Source organism: Homo sapiens, chromosome 21 (assembly GCF_000001405.40).
Source record: "Homo sapiens chromosome 21, GRCh38.p14 Primary Assembly".
NCBI lineage: Eukaryota > Metazoa > Chordata > Mammalia > Primates > Hominidae > Homo > Homo sapiens.
In genome coordinates, this window is record NC_000021.9 from 9,655,754 (window position 1) to 9,680,142 (window position 24,389).

At 42.2% G+C, this 24,389-nt stretch overlaps 1 long non-coding RNA gene across 1 annotated transcript; it reads left to right on the forward strand.

Moving 5' to 3' along the window:
* The first annotated feature begins 6,435 nt into the window (after positions 1–6,435).
* On the forward strand, positions 6,436–24,152 carry LOC105379514 (uncharacterized). Its single transcript, NR_135513.1, has 4 exons — positions 6,436–6,585; positions 21,619–21,816; positions 22,477–22,600; positions 23,762–24,152. It is a non-coding gene; the product is annotated as an uncharacterized LOC105379514 (long non-coding RNA).
* The last annotated feature ends 237 nt before the right edge of the window (positions 24,153–24,389 follow it).

Here is a 24,389-nt window from a genome sequence, read left to right on the forward strand (position 1 = left end):
TCTCCTTCACCATCATAGGATTCAGTGGCTTCTGCAGATACAGCTAAGAGCTTAACAACCCAACAGTCTTCTCCTTCACTGCCATAGAATTCAGTGGCTTCTGCAGATACACCTAAGTCATCGGCTCTTTGTAGAGCATCACCTTCTCTGAGTGACACTGAGTCCAGAAAGGCTTCGATGACCTCGGTCCATAGAGGTTCTGAATCCATTATTACAAACAAAAAATACAACTTTTATATTTCAGAGTCCCTGGCCTTCAGCCCTTTCTGAAATCAGCCACCACTGTGCCTTTAAGCCATCACTGTGCTTTTCTTCCTTTGGTCTTCCATGGCTTGCTTGATTTCAGCTGTTTAGAGTCTCTATATGTACTTTTGTGTCTATGATCCATTTCTATTTACTCCTAGTTCGACTTAAAATGAAATTGTATTTTAAAATATATTCTTGCTGTTTTTAGTATTATTTTCAGGAAGAGTAGTGAGCAATGCTGTTTATTCAACTCTGGTCATACCATGTCCCCCTGATTGTATTCTCTTCATGCATCTCTAATAGAGCTCCTAGACTTTTCCAAGGCTTATATTGAAGTGACTTAATACATGTTTGTCAATGTTTCCTACATTTTCTACTCTTCATATGTCTCATATATGATGCTTCAGTAAGAGTCCCCAGTGTTTGGGGGACTCCTACTCTTTTGGAGTAGCCAAACTCTGAATGTATAATATTTCTTTTCCCCTGCTTCCATCAGTGGTAGTAGACACCCTGGAGGGTCTAATTGCAAGCATAACCACCCAACAGTTCTCTCCTTTAGTTTAGAGCCCTGTAGTCAGTGTTGGCCAGTAAGTTGTCATGGAGCACCCAGAGTGGACACTTCAACAGGGTCTGGTAGTCAGTGCTGGCCAGTAGGTTGTCATGGGGTACCCAGAGTGGACACTTTGATGTGGTCTGGGAGCAGAGCATTATGTCCACTCTTGAATGATAGCTGGGACACGTTGGACGGTGGAATCAACAAAATCACAGGCTTCATGGATGACCTGGGATTTTCCTGCATTCAGTCGGTAAAAAGTGTGAAGAGTATTAAGTCCCTCTGAGATTGAGAGGGAACGTAATTTTAAGAACAACTGGCATCAGATCGTTTATTCATTTTACTTGACAAGAATTTACAAACATCTTTAATATGTGCCACAACCATGGACTAATATAATATAGAATACAAATGCACAAAAGAGAACAGAAAAGTGGAAAATGTCAAGTAACACACAGAGAAAAAATATTACTGGCCGGGCGCAGTGGCTCATGCCTGTAATTGCAGCCCTTTGGGAGGCCGAGGTAGGTGGATCATCAGGTCAGGAGTTCGAGACCAGTCTGACCAACATGGTGAAACCCTGTCTCTACTAAAAATACAAAAAAATTAGCCGAGCATGGTGGCGGGCGCCTATAATCCCAGCTACTCAGGAGGCTGAGGCAGGAGAATCACTTGAACCTGGGAGGCAGAGGTTGCAGTGAGCCGACATTGCACCACTGTACTCCAGCCTGGGCAACAGAGAGAGACTCCATCTCAAAAAAAAAAAAAAAAAAAAAGTACTTGAGAGGATATGAAAAACTGTTCCCCAGAAGTGGCATAATTTGGAAGTCATAGTGTATGTTGGTGTCAAGGAAATAAGTGAGTTCTTTTTTTTAAAGAAAGGTGTTTTGTTTTGTTTTAAAGAGAACAAGGTTCATTAACAATATGCAAAACAGATGAAATGCAGTCAATAACACTATGAAAAATCACTTTCTATACAGAATGAGAAAACATCAATAACATTTTAGCCTTTATTTTACTGTTTAGTAGAGAATTATCAGTATAGTGTTTTCACTAGTTATCAGCATCTTAAGGGAAGTACTTATGTGTGTTGTACCTTTTGAAAACTGGAATCATAGATTGCTCTAAATTATTGTATTAAAAATTGAAGTAATGATAACTATTCAGCTGGAATGTCAGGAAAATGTTGAAAATGACCAAGAGTTTACCAGGGAAAGGCTGCAAGGTAGCACCTGGTCATACCTTTAAATGACAGACAAACACAGACACATACACACAAAAGCAACATTTAAGTAGAGGAAACTTGTTAGCGCTCCTGTGTTTAGAGGAAGTAAAATGAGTCAGATTAGTGCTTTCCATCGTGATTGCCTCATCTGTGCTTGGAGCCACTTCGGAGGATTCTGTTGGCTTTATCCTGGCACCGACTAGCACTGCACAGCGTAGAAGGCACAAGGACTGAAAAGGTCATGTCTTTCTGCTCAGAAAATTTGAATGGTTATAGAGTGCAGAGGGCCCATGCAAAATGCTCATTATCTGCTGTGTCTCTTGTTTTCAAAATTCTTTATCAGGTTACTGGCAATAAAATGCTGTTCCCTTTTGTTACCAGACAATGAGGCATTTATACCAGCAAGTCACCTGAGAACATAGCAGCCAACATTAATGAGTTGAAAGTACCACTGGGACAGTGAAGAATTGACAAGACTGCTGGCCTGCTGATCTTGTTTATCTTGCCTTTTTTTTTCTTTTTCAAGGTTTATTTGTGGAAAGTCTGTTTTCGTTGCTTATGTGCTCATCTGTGCTGCTTTAAAATGCCTTCGTGGTGGCAGAGAGTAATTAGCATATAGAGTCTGGAAACCAACTTTTAAATTTTATTAATGAGCTGAGTTTAGTTCCCCTTTGTCTTTTAACTGACTCCAGGAGCATTAATGAAAAGTATATAAATATGAATACAGGTGTAGTAATAAAAAAGAATTATCAGTCACCCTTAATTTAATTGGTGTCACCTTAGCCTTTAGAAGGGTAATAGGATAGTATTGCCACCTGCAATCATTCAAGACTATTTTACTCACTACAGTAATTAGCTCACTTTAAAAAATTAGGTGACCTTTCAAAAGTGAGTAAAATAGAATCTGGTGAGAACCGTTAAGACACGTTTGTGAATATAGCATTGGTAGAATATCATAGATATTTAGGGTTTCGAGCGACCTGTGGACATTTTGTGCAACTTCTGTTAATGAAAGAATCTCTTGAAACACTCTTTTCATGCATGGAGTTACTAGGCATCTAGCAACTGGAGGTTATATCAATGTGTCAGATACTCCACAGTCTCTCTTCTAATATTACGTGCAAAATACCCTGTAGACTAGGAAGCATGTTTGATCTTGGTTATAGGTGCAATTTATTCAACCAGCGTTCGTCTATGTGCATTGAAGTCCATTATGACTACTTTTGGCATGGAGACAAACACAAAACATGGCCTCTGAAAAGAGTGTATGCTGGGATTTGGGATAAGGCATATAAAGAATAACTTTACTAAAAAGCTGAATATTACATCATATGAGTTAAACACTCTTGCCAAGAATTATCAGTAACCATAACAGCTAATGAAAGTGGATGTCACTGCAAATCAAACTAGTGGGCATCTCTTGTTTATTAGCAAAATTTTCCACATTAAAGAAACCCTTAAAACGACATTTTTACTTGTAAGATACACAAGAGACATATTTGATTTAGGAGACATTCAGAGCAGTTTTCTGCCTTTGTTGCATATGTACATCAAAGTGCTTTAGTGATAGTTGCAATTTTGGTAGTTATCTGCCAAGTTAGAAATGAATCCAAACTAGTATATTTTGACCTTTCAATTGAATTGCCACAAAGCAAAATTCACTAGTATTCAGTGCCTCCCATCAAGCGGAAATCCAAAGCATGTTTTCCCATTAAGGAGACTCCTTCTCTTCTCACAGATAGCAAATTTCCAAATGAGGAGAGAGCTGGTTGAAGGACCATGATGATGAGCCAATGATAGGTGTTATTGACCTTTCCTGAAACAGCTTGACTTCTGAACATTTTTTGAACTTATACTTATACTTGAGATACAGTAGATTTGATATCACACATTATAATGGATGGTTTTCTGATAGGACCTGACCATTTACTAGCCTACGTCCTTCTAGTTTTCTACATAAACTCTCTACTGCAGCAACTAATGATAATTATTATTATAGTTGCTAACATTTGCTGATCTTATTGTTTTCTAGGCACTGTGCTGAGAACTTCATATCCATTTATTTCATTTTATCTTGAGAGGTGACAGCGTGCTGGCAGCCCTTGCAGCCCTGGCTCGCTCTCTGTGCCTCCTCAGCCTTGGCGCCCACTCTGGCCACGCTTGAGGAGCCCTTCTGCCCGCCACTGCACTGTGGGAGCCTCTTTCTGAGCTGGCCAAGGCCGGAGCCGGCTCCCTCAGCTTGCAGGGAGGTGTGGAGGGAGAGGTGCAGGCGGGAACTGGGGCTGTTCACGGTGCTTGAGGGCCAGCGCGAGTTCCAGGTGGGCGTGGGCTCCGCGGGCCCCGCACTCAGAGCCGCCAGCCTGCCCACAAGCCCCAGGCAGTCAGGGGCTTAGCACCTGGGCCACCAGCTGCTGTGCTCGACTTCTTGCTGGGCCTTAGCTGCCTCCGGCAGGGCAGGGCTTGGGACCTGCAGCCCACCATGCCTCAGCCTGCCTACCCCCCCACCCCCCCATGGGCTCCTGTGCCACCCGAGCCTCCCCGACAAGGGGTGCTCCCTGCTCCAGGGCTGTGCCTAGTCCCATCCACCGCCCAAGGGCTGAGGAGTGTGGTCGTATAGTGCGGAACTGGCAGGCAGCTCCACCTGCGGCCCTGGTGCAGGATCCACTGGGTGAAGCCAGCTGTGCTCCTGAGTCTGGTGGGAACTTGGAGAATCTTTATGTCTAGCTAAGTGATTGTAAATACACCAATCAGCACTCTGTATCTAGCTCAAGGTTTGTAAATACACGAATCAGCACCCTGCGTCTACCTCAGGGTTTGTGAATGCACCAATCAGCACTCTGTATCTAGTTAATCTGATGAGGACTTGGAGAACCTTTATGTCTAGCTAAGGGATTGTGAATGCAACAATTGGCACTCTGTATCTAGCTCAAGGTTTGTAAATGCACCAATCAGCACTCTGTGTCTAGCTCAGGGTTTGTAAATACACCAATCGACACTGTACCTAGCTAATCTAGTGGGGATGTGGAGAACTTTTGTGTCTAGCTCAGGGATTGTAAACGAACCAATCAGCACCCTGTCAAAACTGACCAATCAGCTCTTTGTGAAACAGACCAAACGGCTCTCTGTAAAATGGACCAATCAGCAGGATGTGGGTGGGGCCAGATAAGAGAATAAAAGCAGGCTACCTGAGCCAGCAGCTTCAATCCGCTGGGTTCCCCTTCCACACTGTGGAAGCTTTGTTCTTTTGCTCTTTGCAATAAAGCTTGCTACTGCTCACTCTTTGGGTCCACACTACCTTTATGAGCTGTAACACTCACCGTGAAGGTCTGCAGCTTCACTCCTGAAGCCAGCGATACCAGGAGCCCACCAGGAGGAACGAACAACTCTAGACACACTGCCCCAAGAGCTGTAACACTCACCGCGAAGGTCTGCAGCTTCATTCCTGAGCCAGCGAGACCGCAAACCCACCAGAAGGAAGAAACTCTGAACACATCCGAACATCAGAAGGAACAAACTCCAGACATGCCACCTTTAAGAACTGTAACACTCACCTTGAAGGTCTGTAGCTTCATTCTTGAAGTCAGTGAGACCAAGAGAACCCACCAATTCTGGACACAATCTTATACCACAGAACTGTAAGTTCTATTCTTCTTCCAATTTTACAAAACAGAAACAGACAAACAGAGGTAATTCTCTGAAAGATGTCTCTCTCAGTCCATTTCTGCTGCAATGTACCTTAGACTAGGTAATTTATAAAACAACAGACATGTATTGCTAGTAGTTTTGGAGGCCAGAGGTCGAAGCTCAAGGCAGCAGTAGACTCGGTGGCTGCTGAGGGCCCATTCATCATAGATGGAGTCTTCTGTATGTCCTCATATGGTAGCAGTAAACTCGGTGCCTGCTGAGGGCCCATTCATCATAGATGGAGTTTTCTCTATGTCCTCATATGGCAGAAGAAAGAAGCAAGCTCTCTCAGACCTTTTTATAAGGGTACTAAACCCATTCATGAAGGGTCCACCCTTATGACCTAGTCACCTCCTAGAGACCCCACCTCTTAATGTTATTGCATTGGGAATTAGGTTTCAATGTATGAATTTTGGAGGAATGCAAACATTCAGATCAGATCTGTTTGACCTCACAGCCAAAACTGGCAGTGGAATTTGCATGTTGCTCCTGGAACATATCTAGTAATTTTCCATCTCTATACATTTTCTATGCTGTTTCCTCTATACTGAATGATCCATACTATCCGTTTAACTTTGTATCTTTAAAGGCTTGTGTGTGTGCCCATCTATTTTGGTGAGGTTGTTACCAAAACGCCATGGGTTTGGTCTAGGTCCTGCTTGCTGCTCACTGCACAGAAAGCCAATCACTGAGATGGTGAGTGTTTCCGGGGAAGAAGCTTTCATCCGGTGCTGCAGCTGAGGAGATGGGAGCTCAGCCTCAAATCCATCGCCCTGACTGACTAAAAATGGGGTTTTATACAACAGGCAAGAAATGTAACAATGTGTAGGAAACACGAACTAGGGAGGAACAAGGAGTCATCTGGTGGCCTCATCTGGTGAGTTTCAGTTCTTTAATGCTTTTTTTTTTTTTTTTTTTGAGAGGCCTGAAGGTCCTTTCCTGAGGGAAGAACTCAGATGAAACAAATACAAGTTTCAAGCTTTAAGAGCGGAAGAGTCAATGTCTATGTTTATACGAAAGAACACGCTATAGGAGTATTGGGCCGGCTTCAGGGTCAGTAGGATCTATTCCAGAATTACAAACATCGTATATAAACCCCTAAGTCTAACCAGTGTTTTGAGTTTTTCACTTATCTTATGTGTAGCCACCATGCATGTAACATTAAGACATCAATTACATGTGTATGCTTTTGCCTCTTGTTAATTTTTGTTGCTGTTGTTTTTTCAATTTAATTCACAGGCTCCAGCACAAAATGTAAGATGGGATAGGAAAAGCTTTTTTCCTACCCAACAGAATGCTGAAAATGTAAATATTTTTTCTTTGGTTTACAGTAATAAGGAGTGTGATTCCTTTTTTTTTTCTACCTCTTCTACTTCTACGTTTTAAGAGCTCTGTAGCTTAGTGAGCTCCCAGGCTTATGAACACCCTGACACAGCTAGTCTTGAAATGTTGCCAGCATTGTAGGATTTGCATACTTAACATGCTACTTATACTGCCATAAAGTATGTAAGGTGGAAAGGATATTGTCTTTTAGTGTGGGTACATAGAGCATGGCACGAGTTGTTGCCAGCCTCACATCACATCTGTCTTCTGATTTTATACTTTATATCCAGGATCATACAGTCAAGTTTAGACATTTTAAAAAATCTTATTTCTATATTACTAAACTATTCATGGAGCCAGACTCTTCTAAGTTACTCTGGGAAAATGCCTTAGGCCTTCCAAGGACACAAAATTTTCATTCTTATAAAAAGCATTTGGCTAGGAATCAGAAGACCTACATTTTCATTCAAGAACTGGTACTAGTTTGTGTTGTGATTTTAGGCAGATCCATTATTGTCTCTAAGCCACAATGTCCTGAACTCCAAAACCACAGCATTGGCCTAGATGGTTTCTTAGGCCTCTCTTTGTGTCGGGAATTGGTGAGTTCTTGGTCTCACTGACTTCAAGAATGAAGCCATGGACCCTCGCAGTGAGCATTACAGTTCTTAAAGGCGGTGTGTCCAGAGTTTGCTCCTTCCTCTTGTCTGGAGTTGTTCATTCCTCCTGGTGGGTTCGTGGTCTGGCTGGCTCAGGAATGAAGCTGTAGACCTTCGCGGTGAGTGTTAGAGCTCACAAAGGCAGTGTGGACCCAAAGAGTGAGCAGAAACAAGATTTATTGCAAAGAGCAAAACAACAAAGCTTCCACAGTGCAGAAGGGGACCCTAGCAGGTTACCACTGCTGGCTCAGGCAGCCTGCTTTTATTCCCTTATCTGGCCCCACCTACACCTTGCTGATTGGTCCATTTTACAGAGAGCTGATTTGTCTGTTTTACAGAGAGCTGATTGGTCCGTTTTGACAGGGTGCTGATTGGTGCATTTACAATCCCTGAGCTAGACGCAAAAGTTCTCCAAGTCCCCACTAGGTTAGCTAGACACAAAGCACTGATTGGTGCATTTACAAACCTTGAGCTAGACACAGGTTGCTGATTGGTGCATCCACAATCCCTTAGGTAGACACAAAGATTCTCCAAGTCCCCACTAGACGCAGGAGCCCAGCTGGCTTCACCTAGTGGATCCCGCACCTGGCCTCAGGTGGATCTGCCTGCCAGTCCCGCGCCATGCGCCTGCACTCCTCAGCCCTTGGGTGGTTGATGGGACTGGGAGCTGTGGAGCAGGTTGCAGTGCTCCTCGGGGAGGCTCAGGCCTTGTAGGAGCCCATGGCAGGGGGGAAGCTCAGGCATGGGAGGCTGCAAGTGCCAAGCCTTGCCCCACAAGGAGGCAGCTGAGGCCTGGCAAGAATTTGAGCGCAGCGCCAGTGGGCCAGCACTGCTGGAGGACTCAGTGCACCCCCTGCAGCTGCTGGCCCAGGTGCCAAGCCCCTCACTCTCTGGGGCCAGCGGTGCTGGCCAGTCGCTCCGAGTGCGGGTGCAATGCCCACAGCAGACCCGGTTCCCACCCGTGCACAGCAGCCCCTGTTCCCTCTGACGCCTCTCCCTCCACACCTGTCCACAGCAGAGGGAGCTGGCTGTGGCCTCAGGCAGCCCAGAGAGGGGCCCCCACAGTGCAGCAGTAGGCTGAAGGGCTCCTCAAATGCGGCCAGAGTGGGCGCCGAGGCCAAGGAGGCACCAAGAGCCAGCCAGGGCTGCTAGGGCTGCCAGCACATTGTCACCTCTCATCTTTAATACAAATTTTGCTATATGCTCTAAGGCTACAATTTTGTCTTGTTACTCTGGTAATAATACACTTTCAGGCAGTAACTTGAAAGAAAATTCAATTTTCATAAAGTCTCCGGAAAACTGGAGAAAGAGAGAATTTTATTTCAGTATTGTTGTCCTGTGGATTGGAATATGTTCTAACTCACATCATAATTCTTGAAACATTATAAAATATAAAAGCTTAAACTAATATGTTTAATTGACTCCAAGAGCATTAATGAAAAGTATATAAATAGGAATACAGATGTAGTAATAAAAGAGAATTATCAGTCACCCTTAATTTAAGTGGTGTCTCCTTAGCTTTTAGAAGGGTAATAGGTAAAGACTGTTGTGCTCAGAACACCAGAAATCTATTCGAACTAGGTGAAAATTTGCTAGTGAAGGTATTTGTGAAAATAGAAATGCAGCTTATGTAAAACCTATTCACTTACATATGCCCACAAATACAGAAACATCTGAATGCTCAGTTTTAACCTATTCCTCAGTAGGTTAAAGTGCTCTGGGCTTACTTGTCTCTTCCTCTTGACTTGGAGAGAAGAGAAGCCTTTGCTTTTACTCGGCATGAAGGAACCTCAGGATAGTCACATCTCAACTCTTAGATGCCTGAGAGCTTTGTAATGCAAATCAGGCTGCTCCTTTTTTCTTACCAGCAACTTAATTTGGGACAGGATTGATTGACTAGAAAGTTTGCTAATCAGTTTGAAACAAAACTAGGCTGGGGGCCAATGGAAGTTTGCCAGAACCTCCCTTCCGAAGACAAGGTCGACAGCTGGTCTCACTTTGGAAATGCTTTTGCCCATTATCTTATCATTTGGTCCATTTTATATGGTCCACATCTCAAATTACAATGTTTATTTTGAAGGCACTCCAGAGAAAAGAAAGAAAAAAAGACACCACACATGACTTAGAGAACAGATTTTATAATACTTTGAAAATGAGGTACCTCGTTGTAAATTTAAAATCCGCCTCCTGATTGTTTTAGAGTTGATAAGTATATTGACGGTTGTGAATGACTGCTGAGCTGTGGCTTTTGGGTGTAGCGGATGTGACAACCTTTGTTGGTGAAGCAAAGAAAACAAGTTTGATTTGACCATGAGAACATATGAATTCCTGAACTGTTAAAAATAATAACTCTTGTTTGTGTCATTCTCCAAAGTTTTAAAATAAAATTAGATCATTGTGCCCAAACCAAAAAGTTCTGAAGTCATTGAAGTGACGGAATCATAGGATGCACTGCAGGGGCTGAAATTCCAAACCTTGTAGGGACAGGAAGGTAACGTGAATGTATGAATCGGACTAAATGTGGATAGCAGGGAAGAGTGGGTTCTATGGAAAACTAGAAAGAATATGCTTCTAAGGATGTTCAAATTTGGATTTAGAAAACAAATACCAAGCCTGCAAAACAAGAGACCTGGAATAAATTATCAGCTTTGAAAAAATCAGAGTTTGAAAAAATATATTAATTCTTATTTCAGAGACATCCATGTAATTTAGTGTCTTTCACAAGGCAGACAAAAAGAGCTTAGGAGAGAGAGACAAAGGAAAATAGAAACAAACAAAAGGTGTTAAGCTTCTAAAAAACAGGCACTGTGTTGGGCTTTGAACATATAGAATAGCATGAATTCTCACCATGACTACCTGCAGTAGCCAGTATTATTCCCACTTCATGGATGAAAGATTCAATCTTAGAGAGTTTACGTAACTTATAACAGCAGAAAAGCAAGATTTTAATTACAAATCCTATGTTCTCTTCTCTATACTAAATGTATGAACTCAAGCAAGTTATTTATCCTCTTTATTCTTCATGTTTTAATGGGCATAATAATGGTTTATTCACTAGAATATTTTAAGAATTAAAAAAGTTAATAATTGTAAAAATTCTCACAGAATTTTTTTTATGTTTGTTGAATATGAAAGTATGATAATTACTTTTGTTGAGCAACTATCAGCATAGCAGATGTTTAAACTGTTTCTGCAGAGGGATTTGGGCAAGACACCTTTTATTCTTATACCTGGGTTTTATTGTGAAGTTATATCCAGTTAAGCTTGCAAGAATTTGGAGTGCAGCCTGCAGTTGTATGATGGCTGAGGAATACAGGAACATTGTGGTTACTGTAAACATGAGAGTAATAACTGCAAACTAAGGAATAACAGTATATCAATCAGGATCCTCCAAAGAAACAGAAGTGTGTGTGTGTGTGTGTGTGTGTGTGTGTGTGTGTGTAGAGAGATTAATTGTAGGGAATTGGCTTCCACAATTATAGAGGCTGAGAAGTCCTGTGATCTCTAGTTGGCAAGCTGAAGCCTGGAGACCTTGCAGAGCTGATGGTATAGTTCCAGCCTGTCTGAAGGCCTGAGAACCTGGAGGGCTGATGGTGTGATTTACAGTTCAAAAGCCAGTGCGCTCAAGACCCAGAAGATCTAATGTTTCCATTTGAGTCAGAAGCCAGGAAAAGACTGGTGATGTTCCAGCTCAAGCAGCCGGGCAGAAGGAGTTCCCTTGTTCCACAAGAGGGCCAGACATTTTGTTTTATTCAGGCCTTCAGTTGGTTGGATAAGATTCACCTACATTAGGAGGACAATTGGCTTTACTCTATAAATTTAAATGTTAGTCTCCTCCTGAAACTCTCACAGCCCTCACAGACATACCAAGAATAATGTTTGGCTTAATATCTGGGCACCCTGTAGCCCAGTCAAGTTGACACATAAAAGTAATCATCACATATGGTAATATGTAATAGGATAAACTGTAATGAGTTAGGAAATGGTCTGATGTTAACAAAATAATAAAGAAAGCAAATGTGTTGAATGCCTATGGGAACTTGTAACGAGATAGTCATGCACATGGTGAAGAAATTTGTTAGCTGAAGAAGTTCAATACACTGGCTCCTCCAAGATAACTTTCCCACAGAAAACTTTGGGAGCTACTCAGGTATTGCATCCTCTGGGAGTAATTAACTATTCACTAACAGGAGGTTTGCGTGTAACCAGCAACAGCAGGTAAAATTTCAGGTGCTTCTATCAAAGAACTAGAGAGATAGCTCAGCCACTGCTAGATCCTGTGCAAAGATCCCTGGAGAATGCACCTTCCCTGAGGGATGATGTGACACTTACAATATACACTGATGTATATTGTATATGTTTTATTGAGTTGGAGCCAGATGGGGTCTATTTACTCCCAGTTGATTTTCAGGATCATCATTTTTATATATTCTCAACAAACCTGTCCCTCTCTCTCCTCATGGTAACCACCTGGCACAACTCTATCCCTTGTAAATCCAGCTCTCCACAGAGCTGAGTGTGGCTGGAGAAGCCCACAGTGACGCTGATTGCTCTTCCCTTACATTTGTGATCACTAACCGGGGCTGGCTGCCTGATTTGCAGGGCCCAGGGCAAAATGAAAGTGTGGGGCTGTTAATTCAGAAGACATTTTAAAAAAGCCTCATTAAATGCACTAAAATCTAAGGTGTTTTCATTTTAAAAATAATTTGTGACTTATAAACCATAAAACAGGCAACAGTGACACACGAGAAATAACATAAACTTACAAATTGCAAAAATTATGTGTGACTCCACAGTCACACACATTAAGCCACCAATGCAGCTGGCCCTGTCGCTAACCGCTAGTAGGCTCCTAGCACACCTGCCATTCCAATGCCTTCCCTCGCTCATTCATGTTTCTGGGAGGCTCCTTCAGATTCTCTCTCCTCTTAAGCCTCTAATGTTTTCTCTCCCATCCTCACTCTCAGTTAATGACTTTGGGGTATATGTCACTGAAAGAAAAACAAATTTAAGCCAAAACCAGAATAAGATGAGAGCTTCTGCAAACTGCTACTTCCTCATCACCCCCCACCTGGCTCTATGTCCAAACACTGTCTTCCTTTTTGTTACCCATAAGTTAAACTGGAGCACTAAATCCCAATGTCTCTCTCGAATTTCAGCAATTCTCCTTCTACCTCCCACAATGTCGACTTTTCTGTCTCTACTGGAGTGTTCCTATCAACATGCACAGTTGAATTTTCCCATCTGGCACTACCTGTCCTGATCTTATGTTCCTTTCAAACTACTGCACTATTTCTGCTTTCTTCAGAGTGAAATTCTTTGAAAGTGTTTTCATATTTACCATCTCCAATTTTTGTCTTCATTCTTCCTCTTAGATCCACTAGGTCTGACAGTTTCCTCTGTCCTTTCACAGAAATTGCTCATTTCAAAATGTGAATATCTTCCATGTTGTTACAGCCCATGATCGATTCTTAACCCTCTTCTCACTTAGCCATGAATAGCATTTACACAGCTGGTTGTTGCCTGACCCTCAAACACTTTCTCACTTGGCTCCATGACCCCACAGGCTTCTTGGCTTCCTTCCTTCATCTTTGGCCTCATTTCTCCCTCTGCTTTGCTGGTTCCTGCTGTTCATCCTGTCCTTTACACACTGCAACAACTTAGGGGCTAGTCCTCTGACATCTTCTCTACCCGCATGTACTCCCTTAGGGATTTCAAACAGTCTCATAGCTTTAAGCACCATCCATACACTGACAACTCCCAGATTCAAAGGTTTAGTCCAGACCTTACCCTTGAACTCCAAATGGGTATACCCACGTACCTAGGAGATAATCCTTACACTCCCTTCTTTCTCCACTATGCTTAATTTAATCTGTCAGAACGTCTGTGATTCTATCTTCCAAATAGATCCATAACCTGACCCCTCTTCACCACTCATCTTGCTACTCCTGGTCCAAGTCACCTCCACCTTGCACTTGGATTATGGCAACAGTCTCTTAACTGTTCTCCCTCTTCCATTGGCTCTTCTTAGTCTTCTATTCATTACATAGGGATCCTGTTAAAAGACAGGTCTGGTAATATCAGTCCTTTGTAAACATGTCCAATGGCTTCTCACCACAATCAGTAAAAACCAAAAACCCTCCATCTGGTGGCCCCCAGCCCCTTCCTCCTCCACCTCACATGTGCTTCCTTTGCTCACCCTCTCTTGACTGCTTGCTGCTCTTCAAACATGTTAGGTTATGCTCCTTCCTCTAGGCCTCTGTCTGCAACATCCTTTCTCCAACATCTTTGTGGGTGGCTCTCTCACTTTTACAGGTCTTGCTCATGGGCCTTCTGGCAAGCCCTTCCCTGATCACCATGCTTGCATGGCAGGCTGGCACTCTGTCTGCCCTGTTTAGTTTTCTTCATGAGAACAGAAAGTCCTGTTTGTCTTCTTTACTGCTTTATGACCAGGGCCTAGAAGCACTTGGCACAACTAGGCATTCAGTACAGATTTATTAATTGAATGACTAAATAGCAGTTGTGAATCAGAACACAATGGAATCTATATCTCCAAAACTTTGTGATGAATAAAACTGGCTAAAATATGAGAATTTTATGTAACTTAGTCACATATCATAAGATTTTCTAAGTAGAATTCATACTTGGTTGTATGTCCTAAGATCTTTTTAGGGAGGTTTCCTCTTTCTAAGGGGATTCAAAGATATCAGTGAAACCTGAAAATTGTCTTGGGTTAAGTAGTGCATTGTGGAGTACCAAATGGCATGAAAGAACAAAACTGCTGTCATTGTGACTGCCATAGTCAATGTCAATGTTGGATATGACTGCATGAGCTGACAGCCCCTGGAGCATGTGAAATATATGAAATGCACACTGGACATAACAGAGCATTTTTGCAGGGAGCTGGACCAACTCTTTTATATGACTAAGATGCTATTTGCAATTTATATAAAGGAAAAAAGCAAATATGCTCCATGCAGTGCCTAAAAGAGCCCTAGTGGCTTCCGGGTAGAAAGCCATCCCACTTCTCTTCAGCAGAGCATGAAATCAACCTACTACCTTTTATCAGGTTACTTACATAAAGGAATTGTGCCTATTAATAAAACATCATGCATCTTATTTCTCCAAGAGCAATGATAACCAAACTCTCCTTTCCCGTTCCCTCTTCCTTCCTTCTCTGGGGTCACTTTTTGCTGCCCTGTGTTCTGTTCAGCATGCATTGGCCATGAGGATCAGATTGTTAGTCCAGATGACTTTGAAGTAGTTTTTCTTATGGTAAGGTTTTCTCCTAAGTCTGTAGCATAGAATCCTTGTTTTTGGGTTGATCCATGCTTAACCTGAAGATGATAGAATGCAAATTCTGCTTTATATTTGTGTATATAAATATTGCATCAGTCACATGTCCATTTTGGTGGCAACATCGTCTGTGGTTTTCTTAGCTGCCCTGGGATTGAATTTGCTTAATCATGTTCCCTTTTCTTTCAGGTTGTGCTTGGCTTCTTGCTGCCCACACCTACTCCATGATTTCATGCTAATTTCTGCCCTTCTTCTCAGTTAGTGAAAGCTTCCCCGCACTCATTATCAGCACACTTGAATGTCCACTTAGTGTCAGACATACAATTTTTAAAGTGAGAATTTCGTCCAGGACTTTTACAAAGCCTCTCATGTGGCCACTGACTGCAGTTAAAAAACTAGCCTGTTAGAATGGTCACCTTGACATCATAGTCCAAAAGTGTCCCAATAATGGATGTGCCAAAAAATTCTGAAACCATCATAGGAGTTAAAAAATGAGAACACCAGCCCACAAAGAATGGTATCACCCAAACATTTGGACCAAGTCCACAGTTTTTATATTTTTGTGCCACATAGCATAGACAGCCTAATATATTTAAAGTAACACTTAAAATGTACTTTAGGGATTCAAATTTTAGCTGCTTGTTTCTATTTGCTAATACAGAACATAAATTTTGAAAAAATAAACTTTTAATTGAAAATTTTACAAAAAGTAAAATAAAAAACTGCTTATATTTCCATCCAAGGGAAAGAAGATACACATAGTAAATACTTTAAATGTATGTATATTCTTTCACCCACTTTTAGGATTTATCCTAAGTATAACTAGCTGTTTTATAAAGATGTTCATCATCATTATTTAGAGTAAGAAAAAATGAACCTAAATGTTGACAGATAAAATTCACGGAGTGAGCTATGGTGCATGCACACAGTGGGGAATTATGCAGGACTGAACACTATGTTTAAAAGCATTTTTAATGGCATGTCAAACACTTATTCTAATATGGAAAATACAGTGACTTCGTGGATATACAAAAACATCCTCATTTTTGTGTAATCGTGTATCATATATGATCCTAAGTACGTAATACTAAACATGAGAAAAAATGCTTGCTAAAAACAGACCAAAATGTAGAGGGCTGCCACTGTGTGGTGTGATCGGCTGACTTTTTGCCTTTTAATTTATATTTTGTTGGCACAGAACATTGTTCTCATGTGCCCGAAGAGATTTAAAGATGATCTTGAGATGATTAGCCTCCTCTCAGAGTCCTGCCGGGGTAGATAACAGGGAAGATTGGGGCAGGTCAGAGGTGACTCTGGGACGTTTGTGCTTGGTGCCCTGCTGCAAGGGACAGCAGCTCTGCAGCTCCAGCCCACTGTTTGTCACAGGTCCTTGGTGACTGTCTTACCAGTTATTTTCAAATTCAAGATAAAATGGAGATACAGACTTTCACATAAAACTTTCTACATTTAACTACCAGCAATTACATTTTTTGTCATAAAACAAAGGGTAGGTCAAACAAAACGTCTTAAGAGTAAATCTGTCTACAATGTGTTCAGGAAACGAACACAGGTCAGGTTTATGTGGAAGATATCCAGGGCGTAGCATATCTGCTGGAAGCATTTCAGTCATGAGCACAGCTGGGTATTGGCCGTGAACCTGGTGTGCATTGAATACACATCCCCGTGGCCCCTACAGTACATTCCCTGTGGATAGTTTATTAGGTTTCCTTTATTCCCTTCATCTATTCTTCCCTTTCCTTTCTTCCTTCCTCTTTTTTTGCCTCCCTCTCTCTCTTCCTGTCTTTATTAAATATGTGGGATGCAGATTTGATGAATATGTCAATCAAAGATCACCAAGAAGTCTTAAAACAGGTAAACCACAGAAAACAGTCAGGATCAGAATAAGAACAGTTTAGTGGTTCTCAAGCTTTTTGTTCTCAGAACTTCTTTATAATCTAAAATGTGTTGCGCCCCCTGAAAAGCTTTCACTTTTATGGGATAAAAATAAATATTTATAAAATATATAGTAAAAAATATAAATATATAAATAAATTTATGATTTGTTTATATAAATATGTATATAAAACCATATTTATCATATTAAGATTTGAAATGGACAAATATTTAAAATATTTATTAGTTAATTTTAAATAATTACCAACCTTTCAAATAAATAACATTTTAATGAAAATTAAAAAAAATTAAATTCCGCCTGGCGCAGTGGCTCATGCCTGTAATCCCAGCACTTTGAGAGGCCGAGGTGGGCGAATCATTTGAGTTCAGGAGTTCGTGACCAGCCCGACCAACATTGTGATACCCCATCTCTACTAAAAATCCAAAAAAATTAGCTGGGTGTGGTGGCATATGCCTGTAGTCCCAGCTACTCGGGAGGCTGAGGCAGGAGAATTGCTTGAACCTGGGAGGCAGAGGTTGCAGTGAGCCAAGATCGTGTCATTGCACTCCAGCCTGGGAGACAGAGCAAGACTCTGTCTCAAAAAAAAAAAAATTAAATTCCAATTTAATTTTTATTTTAATTTATTTAGTTCTAAAATTATATTTAATTTTGTAATTTATTTTAATTGTATATTAATCACATTTATTTTAAAACCAAATAAATGTGTTGAGAAGAGAGAAATTGTTTTACATTTTTGCAAATCTCCTTAATGTGTAGCTTAATAAAAGATAACTGTACTATTCTGTTTCTGCATTTAATCTGTTATGAAGTCACCTATCATGAATCTTCTGGAAAATTCCACGTATATTTGTGAGAGAATGAGGGTAAAAATGGCGAATAACATATTAGTATTATTATAAAAGTCATTTTGGCCTCCTGTTGCCACTGAAAAAGTCTCAGGATGTCCCAGGGGACTTTGGCCCACACTTTGAGAATCAATGTTCAGGCTCCTTTCTGAGCTGATTATGTAGCTGAGCACGTTGAACGTCATGTGATTGAGAACCTGCCCCTTCCAGCCTTCATCTCTTCCATTAGCTTCCCTAAACCATTCATTTTTTAGGGCATTATTTTCTATCAAATACAAACACCAGTGGAAGAGAGAACACATGAAGCCATTAGTAGTTTAATGCCTTAATGTGAATAAATTTACTTCATTTCAATTTGAGAGTCCATGGGGTCACAAAGGAGATGAAAGAGAAAGTACAAGAGCCAGACATAAGGTTGGAAAGAACCCTGTCCCCAGTGAAAGGCCAATTTTTTCTTTCACAGCATCATCTTGGAACAACCTGCTTTCTGGATTCTTAGCTCACAAGTTTGAAAAGGAGCCATTCCCTGATCTATTTTAATTGCTTATCTTCAAAAACTATCTGAACTAAGGTACCCTGTGGCTACTACCTTCCAATTTAGGACTCAGGTTTCCAGGAAAAGAAAAGAGTTACAACTACTAATAAAAGTCAGTCAAAGTAACTGCTCCTCTTTGAAAGTCTCAGCTCTTATTTTAGATATGGGGGTTCACATGCAGGTGTGTTACATGGGTGTATTACACCCAGCTAGTGAGTATTGTACCCCTGGGTAGTTTTTCAATGCATGCCCCTCCCTTCTTTGCCCCCCGCAGTCCACAGCGCCTGTTGTTCCCATGTGCACGTCCATGTGTGCTCAATGCATAGCTTGGAGCTCCCACCTATAACTGAGAACATGCAGTGTTTAAATCCCACTAATTTCTATGAAAAAGTATTTCTGTTGATAACCCTGCAGGAAGCTCTTTATTAATGTCTTCATCCTTTAAACCTACTTAGCCCTATGCTGCTTTAGTCACCTGTACTTTTTTAAAAAACTATTTTTTTCTCTCATTCTGACTTACTTATCCTTACATGCATTGCTATTTCTTCATTCCTAAGGAAGTACGCATTCGATTTAAGCATCTGTGCTAAGACATCCTTGGAAATTAAATTCTAGTCTTTTTTAATGGGGCAAAATGGAAATATAATCTCAGGTAATGCTTTCCAGTTCAGCTTACTGCTGGTTTTTGCAGATGGAATTATAAACATACTTAATCAGAGGGAAATTCCAATAAACTTTAGCCACAGTATATTCGTGCCTTTGCATGGGAAGAGTTGATCTCTCCTCAAGCTAGCTGCAGCCTGCGTCTTCTGAGGGAAGAGCTGTCTTCACTTGCGTGGGATGAATTTGAGAGATCACTGGCCTTGCCGTCTGAGAGTGCGGTCCCTGAGCTGGGAGGATTCTGCCGAGATTAGGTCATGCAATCAGCCTGAGGTGCCACCATGGGGGTGAGCTCAAATTATAGTTTTGGGACCATGCCTGAGTTTAGTCAGCAAAAGTAATTCACACCAGAGGGGGAATGTGCAAGAGGTCAATAACAGAATGAGAAATCAGGGGCAGGGAAAATGCAGGTTGTGAAAGACGATGAAGTGATGATTAGAGGCAGGCTAGGGTGGCCTACCAATGGTGAAGTCCTGGGAGTGAAGAAGACGTTTGCTTCATAAATAAAGAAAGACTTCTGTGCTGCAGGAGAATCAACTGTTGAGAGGGGTGAATGGATGCAGAGTAGTTTCCCTGTTACCACGTCCAAACAGATGTTTATTTGCTGGTAACTGCCATTTCAAAAATACCACCGGAATACTCATTATTTAAATGTTTTTGTTACACCACAACTTTGGAAAACATCTCTAAGCCAGGCATATAAGCCAAGGTTACATAGTATGTCAGGAAAGGTATAACCATTAAATTAATTAACTGTGTTTTGTCTATGATTTTTAAGAAAAAAATCTATATTTTCTGCGAGTAGTGAGCAATACTTATCAATTGGTTAGTCACTTGTGTCTGCGAGTTTCATCACCAGCATGATCGGAAAGGTATCTCCCCTCAGCTTCATTTGCAAGGAGGCCTGAGTCGCTCTCAGCCTCCCCCATTTCTGTGCTGCAGCTTCTGGGGAGCCCCTGACACCACAGACCCCAGAGCAGCCCCTGCCGACAGCGTGCCTGCTCCGGACAATCCCGAGCTAAGGATCTGTTAGTATTAACTGGGATTTTCTGTCTCGTATAATGCATGGAGCAGTGTTTCTTAAATTCATTCTTAAGGAATGAATTTGTGAAGAAAATGCACAGCTGCCCCAAACACTGTAGGCACTGAACGAGCACTCATGGCTTCTCTCTTTGCAGAAATCTCTGTGGACTCTCCTGTTCGTGGGAGGAGTGCCTTTTTCTAGGGTGCAGTGGCTTCCTCTCCATGCTCAGCTCGCACACTCCTGGCTCTGCCTCTGCCCTCCGGCCACCGGTCCCCCAGTCGTGCCACATCCCTGCTGCCTGAGGGGATGCTTGCACGGCTCCCTCTGCCGGGACTTTCCACCTATATGCTCGGCCTTGACCCCTCACTCACATACCCTTTTCTTCACAACTCTTTCCTGACTCTCAACACCATCCTACACTCACAGAGTACTGCATGCCTTTCTGACATAGCCGTGTGTCAGTGTGCTGTGGGAAGTGTTTTCATGTGTATATGACTATTTGCATGTTATAGCAGTGTGTCAGTGTGCTGTGTGACTTTGGTGTATGTGACTATTTGCATGTTACAGCAGTGTGTCAGTGTGCTGTGTGAAGGGTTTTCATGTATATGACTATTTGCGTGTTATAGCAGTGTGTCAGTGTGCTGCGTGACGTGTTTTCATGTGTATATGAGTATTTGTGTGTTATAGCCATGTGTCAGTGTGCTGTGTGTTTTGTTTATGTGACTATTTGCGTGTTATAGCAGTGTGTCAGTGTGCTGTGTGAAGTGTTTTCGTGTATATGACTATTTGCGTGTTATAGCCGTGTGTCAGTGTGCTGTGTGAAGTACTTTGGTGTATGTGACTATTTGCATGTTACAGCAGTGTGTCAGTGTGCTGTGTGAAGTGTTTTCGTGTATATGACTATTTGCATGTTATAGCAGCGTGTCAGTGTGTTGTGAAGGGTTTTCATGTCTGTGACTATCTACATGTTACAGCAGCGTGTCAGTGTGCTGTCTGAAGTGTTTTCATGTGTATATGACTATTTGCGTGTTATAGCAGTGTGTCAGTGTGCTGTGTGAAGGACTTTGGTGTATGTGACTATTTGCATGTTACAGCAGTGTGTCAGTGTGCTGTGTGAAGTGTTTTCATGTGTGTGACTATTTCCGTGTTATAGCAGTGTGTCCGTATGCTGTGTGAAGTGTTTTCGTGTATATGACTATTTGCGTGTTACAGCAGTGTCAGTGTGCTGTGTGAAGTGTTTTCATGTGTATGACTATTTGCATGTTATAGCCGTGTGTCGGTGTGCTGTGTGAAGTGTTTTCATGTGTATGACTATTTGCATGCTATAGCAGTGTGTCAGTGTGCTGTGTGACGTGTTTTCATGTGTATATGACTATTTGCATGTTATAGCAGTGTGTCAGTGTGCTGAGGGAGGTGTTTTAGTGTATATGACTATTTGCATGTCTTCTGCACACTAGATGGAGTGCAGAGTGTGTTGCCTGTTTTTCTCCACCGCTCCATCCTCAGTGCCTGCTACAGTGTTGGACACACAGTAGGGGTTCAGTAAATGCTAATGAACAGTTGATTAAATGAGCAAAAACCTTTATTGAATACCTACCATGTTCCAGACATGGCTAACTGATGAGAATTTACCAATTACATGCTTGCTGCCTTCAGGGAGCTCAACCTCACAAGACAGACCGTCATGTAGAGACAACTGCTACACAACATGGGAAGAACTGCTAGAGATGTAAAGATGTAAAGACCCAAAATGAAGAAGCCAGAACACATGAACACAAAACCAGCCAACCAACAAACACAAGCAGCATGGAGCATAGAGTCTGGGGACCAACTGCATGGTGCTGAGGAATGCAGGTGGAGGCAGAGTGGAAATCACCTGAGTTTCCATCAGGCAGAGTTGCACTTGAATTTGAGTTCTGGCACTTGCTGAGCCTCTCTGATTCTGTCTTCTGTAAAATAGGAGTAATAATATTTATTTATATCTACCGTACAGGCAATTGTGAGATTTACTTAAGACATACTGTCTTAGTCCATTTTTCTGTTGCTTATAACAGAATACCTGAAACTAGGTGACTTATTTTTAAAAAGCTTATTTCTTAGAGTTACGAAGGCTGAGAAGTCCAAGGATGGGGGTCTGCAGCTGGTGAGGGCCTTCTTCCTGACGGGAAATCAGAAGAGCCCTAAGGTGGTTCAGAGCACCACATGGCAAGGGGCCGAGGATGCTAGCGTGTTAGCTCAGATCTCTCTTCTTCTTATAAGGCCACTAGTTCCTCTCCCATGATAACCCGTTTAGCCATTAACCCATTAGTTCTTTAATCCATGAGTAGATTGATTCATAAGGGGATAACCCCTGTGATCCAATCACCACTTAAAGGACGCCCCTCTCAATACTCCCATATCGGGGATTGTTGCAACACAAATTAAGATGGCCTATTAGATATCCTTAATCTTACATCTTAAGGTGTTCTGTGATGTTGCAGTTCAACCCCCTCTCATTCCTCTCTACTCTTTTAGCAGTTACAAACAAACAAACTCACCAAAGAAAACACCAGACAAACATACATCCAATAGTATTGTGTCCGGAATTGGTGGGTTCTTGGTCTCACTGACTTCAAGAATGAAGCCACGGACCCTTGCGGTGAGTGTTACAGTTCCTAAAGATGGTGTGTCCAGAGTTTGTTCCTTCAGATGTTCAGATGGGTCCAGAGTTTCTTCCTTCTGGTGGGTTTGTGGTCTCACTGGCTTCAGGAGTGAAGCTGCAGACCTTCACAGTGTTACAGCTCATAAAGGTAGCATGGACCCAAAGAGTGGGCAGCAGCCGCCAAAGACGGTGCAGACCCAAAGACTGAGCAGCAGCAAGATTTATTGCAAAAGGCAAAAGAACGGAGCTTCCACAGTCTGGAAGGCCCTAGCCGGTTGCCACTGCTAGCTCAGGCAGCCTGCTTTTATTCCCTTATCTGGCCCAACCCACATCCTACTCATTGGCTCATTTTAGAGAGAGCTGATTGGTCCATTTTACAGAAACCTGATTGGGCTGTTTTACAGAGAGCTGATTGGTCCATTTTGACAGAGCACTGATTGGTGCATTTACAAACCTTTCGCTAGACACAGAGCGCTGATTGGTGCATTTACAATCCTTTAGCTAGACAGGAAAGTTCTCCAAGTCCCCACCAGATTAGCTAGACACAGAGCGCTGATCGATGCAGTTACAAACCTCTAGCTAAACAGAAAAGTTCTCCAAGTCCCCACCCGACACAGAAACCCAGCCGGCTTCAGCTCTCAATGGCACTTGCCCTGAGACTTTGCGGCACCTAGCCTGGGTGCTCCGGCAGCCTAGTAGGCACCGGCCGGCCACACCGAGTGTGGGCCCCTGAGCCTGCACCCACCCGGAACCAGCACTGGCCCGCGAGCATGCACAGCCCCGCTCCCGCCTGCGCCTCTACCTGCACACCTGGTGGGGAGCAGAGGGAGCCGCCGGGCCTCCGCCAGCCCCAGAGAAGGGCCCCCACAGCACAGCGGCGGGCTGAAGGGCTCCTGGAGCACTGCCAGAGCGGTTGCTGAGAGCCAGTGAGGGCTGCTAGCACGTTGTCACCTCTCAGTATTAACAATACAAATACTTTTTTGTCTTATTTGTCCTTTGACTTATTTATAACCAACCGAATGTAGAGAAAGTGATGCTGATGTTGAGTGACTCTGGAGGCTAGACCAGAAAATGTTGAAGAGTATCAGAATATACAACCCTAATATATGTTACTTTTGCATAAATTTTATTTTTAAAATTTTTAATTTTTATTTTAAGCTGAAGGCAATTGAGAAAAAGAAGATGCGAGAAGAGCTGTTTACCCTTCCTTTATCTGCTTAAAAGCAAGGAATAAATTTCCATTATAAAGGTGTCCCCTTGTTCTCATACCAAGAAGAGGAGACAGCATCAAGATTACTCTACATAAAGAAACCCAACTAAATAACCCTTATCTATAATAGTTTCTCCCATATATTTACCTTCCTACAATTTAATGCCCCTAGAAGCCCAAGCCCCTTTTCTTTGGTTGCTTCCCCACAATTTATCGTACTTTGTTAAAATGGTAGGTAAGCTCCTAAGTGTAACCACTTCTTTGGATTTTTTTAGTTCTTTCTCTGCAGTTCCCATGCATATAAAAATATTAACAACAAATAAAATTTGTATGCTCTTCATTCGTTGGTCCATCTTTTGTCAGTTTAATTCACAAATTAAGCTGCAGAACCTAAGAGGATGGAGGAAAAGTTTTCCTTTCTTACAAGATCATGCAGCATCTGCTTCACTTACTGAGGAGCCCCGAGCCACCATGTATAAAATCTGAATACCCGAAGACCCCCGTACTGTGAGGAAGCCCGACCACATGGAGAGGCCACATGAAGGTTCTCAAATCAGAACCCCAGCTGAGGTCCCA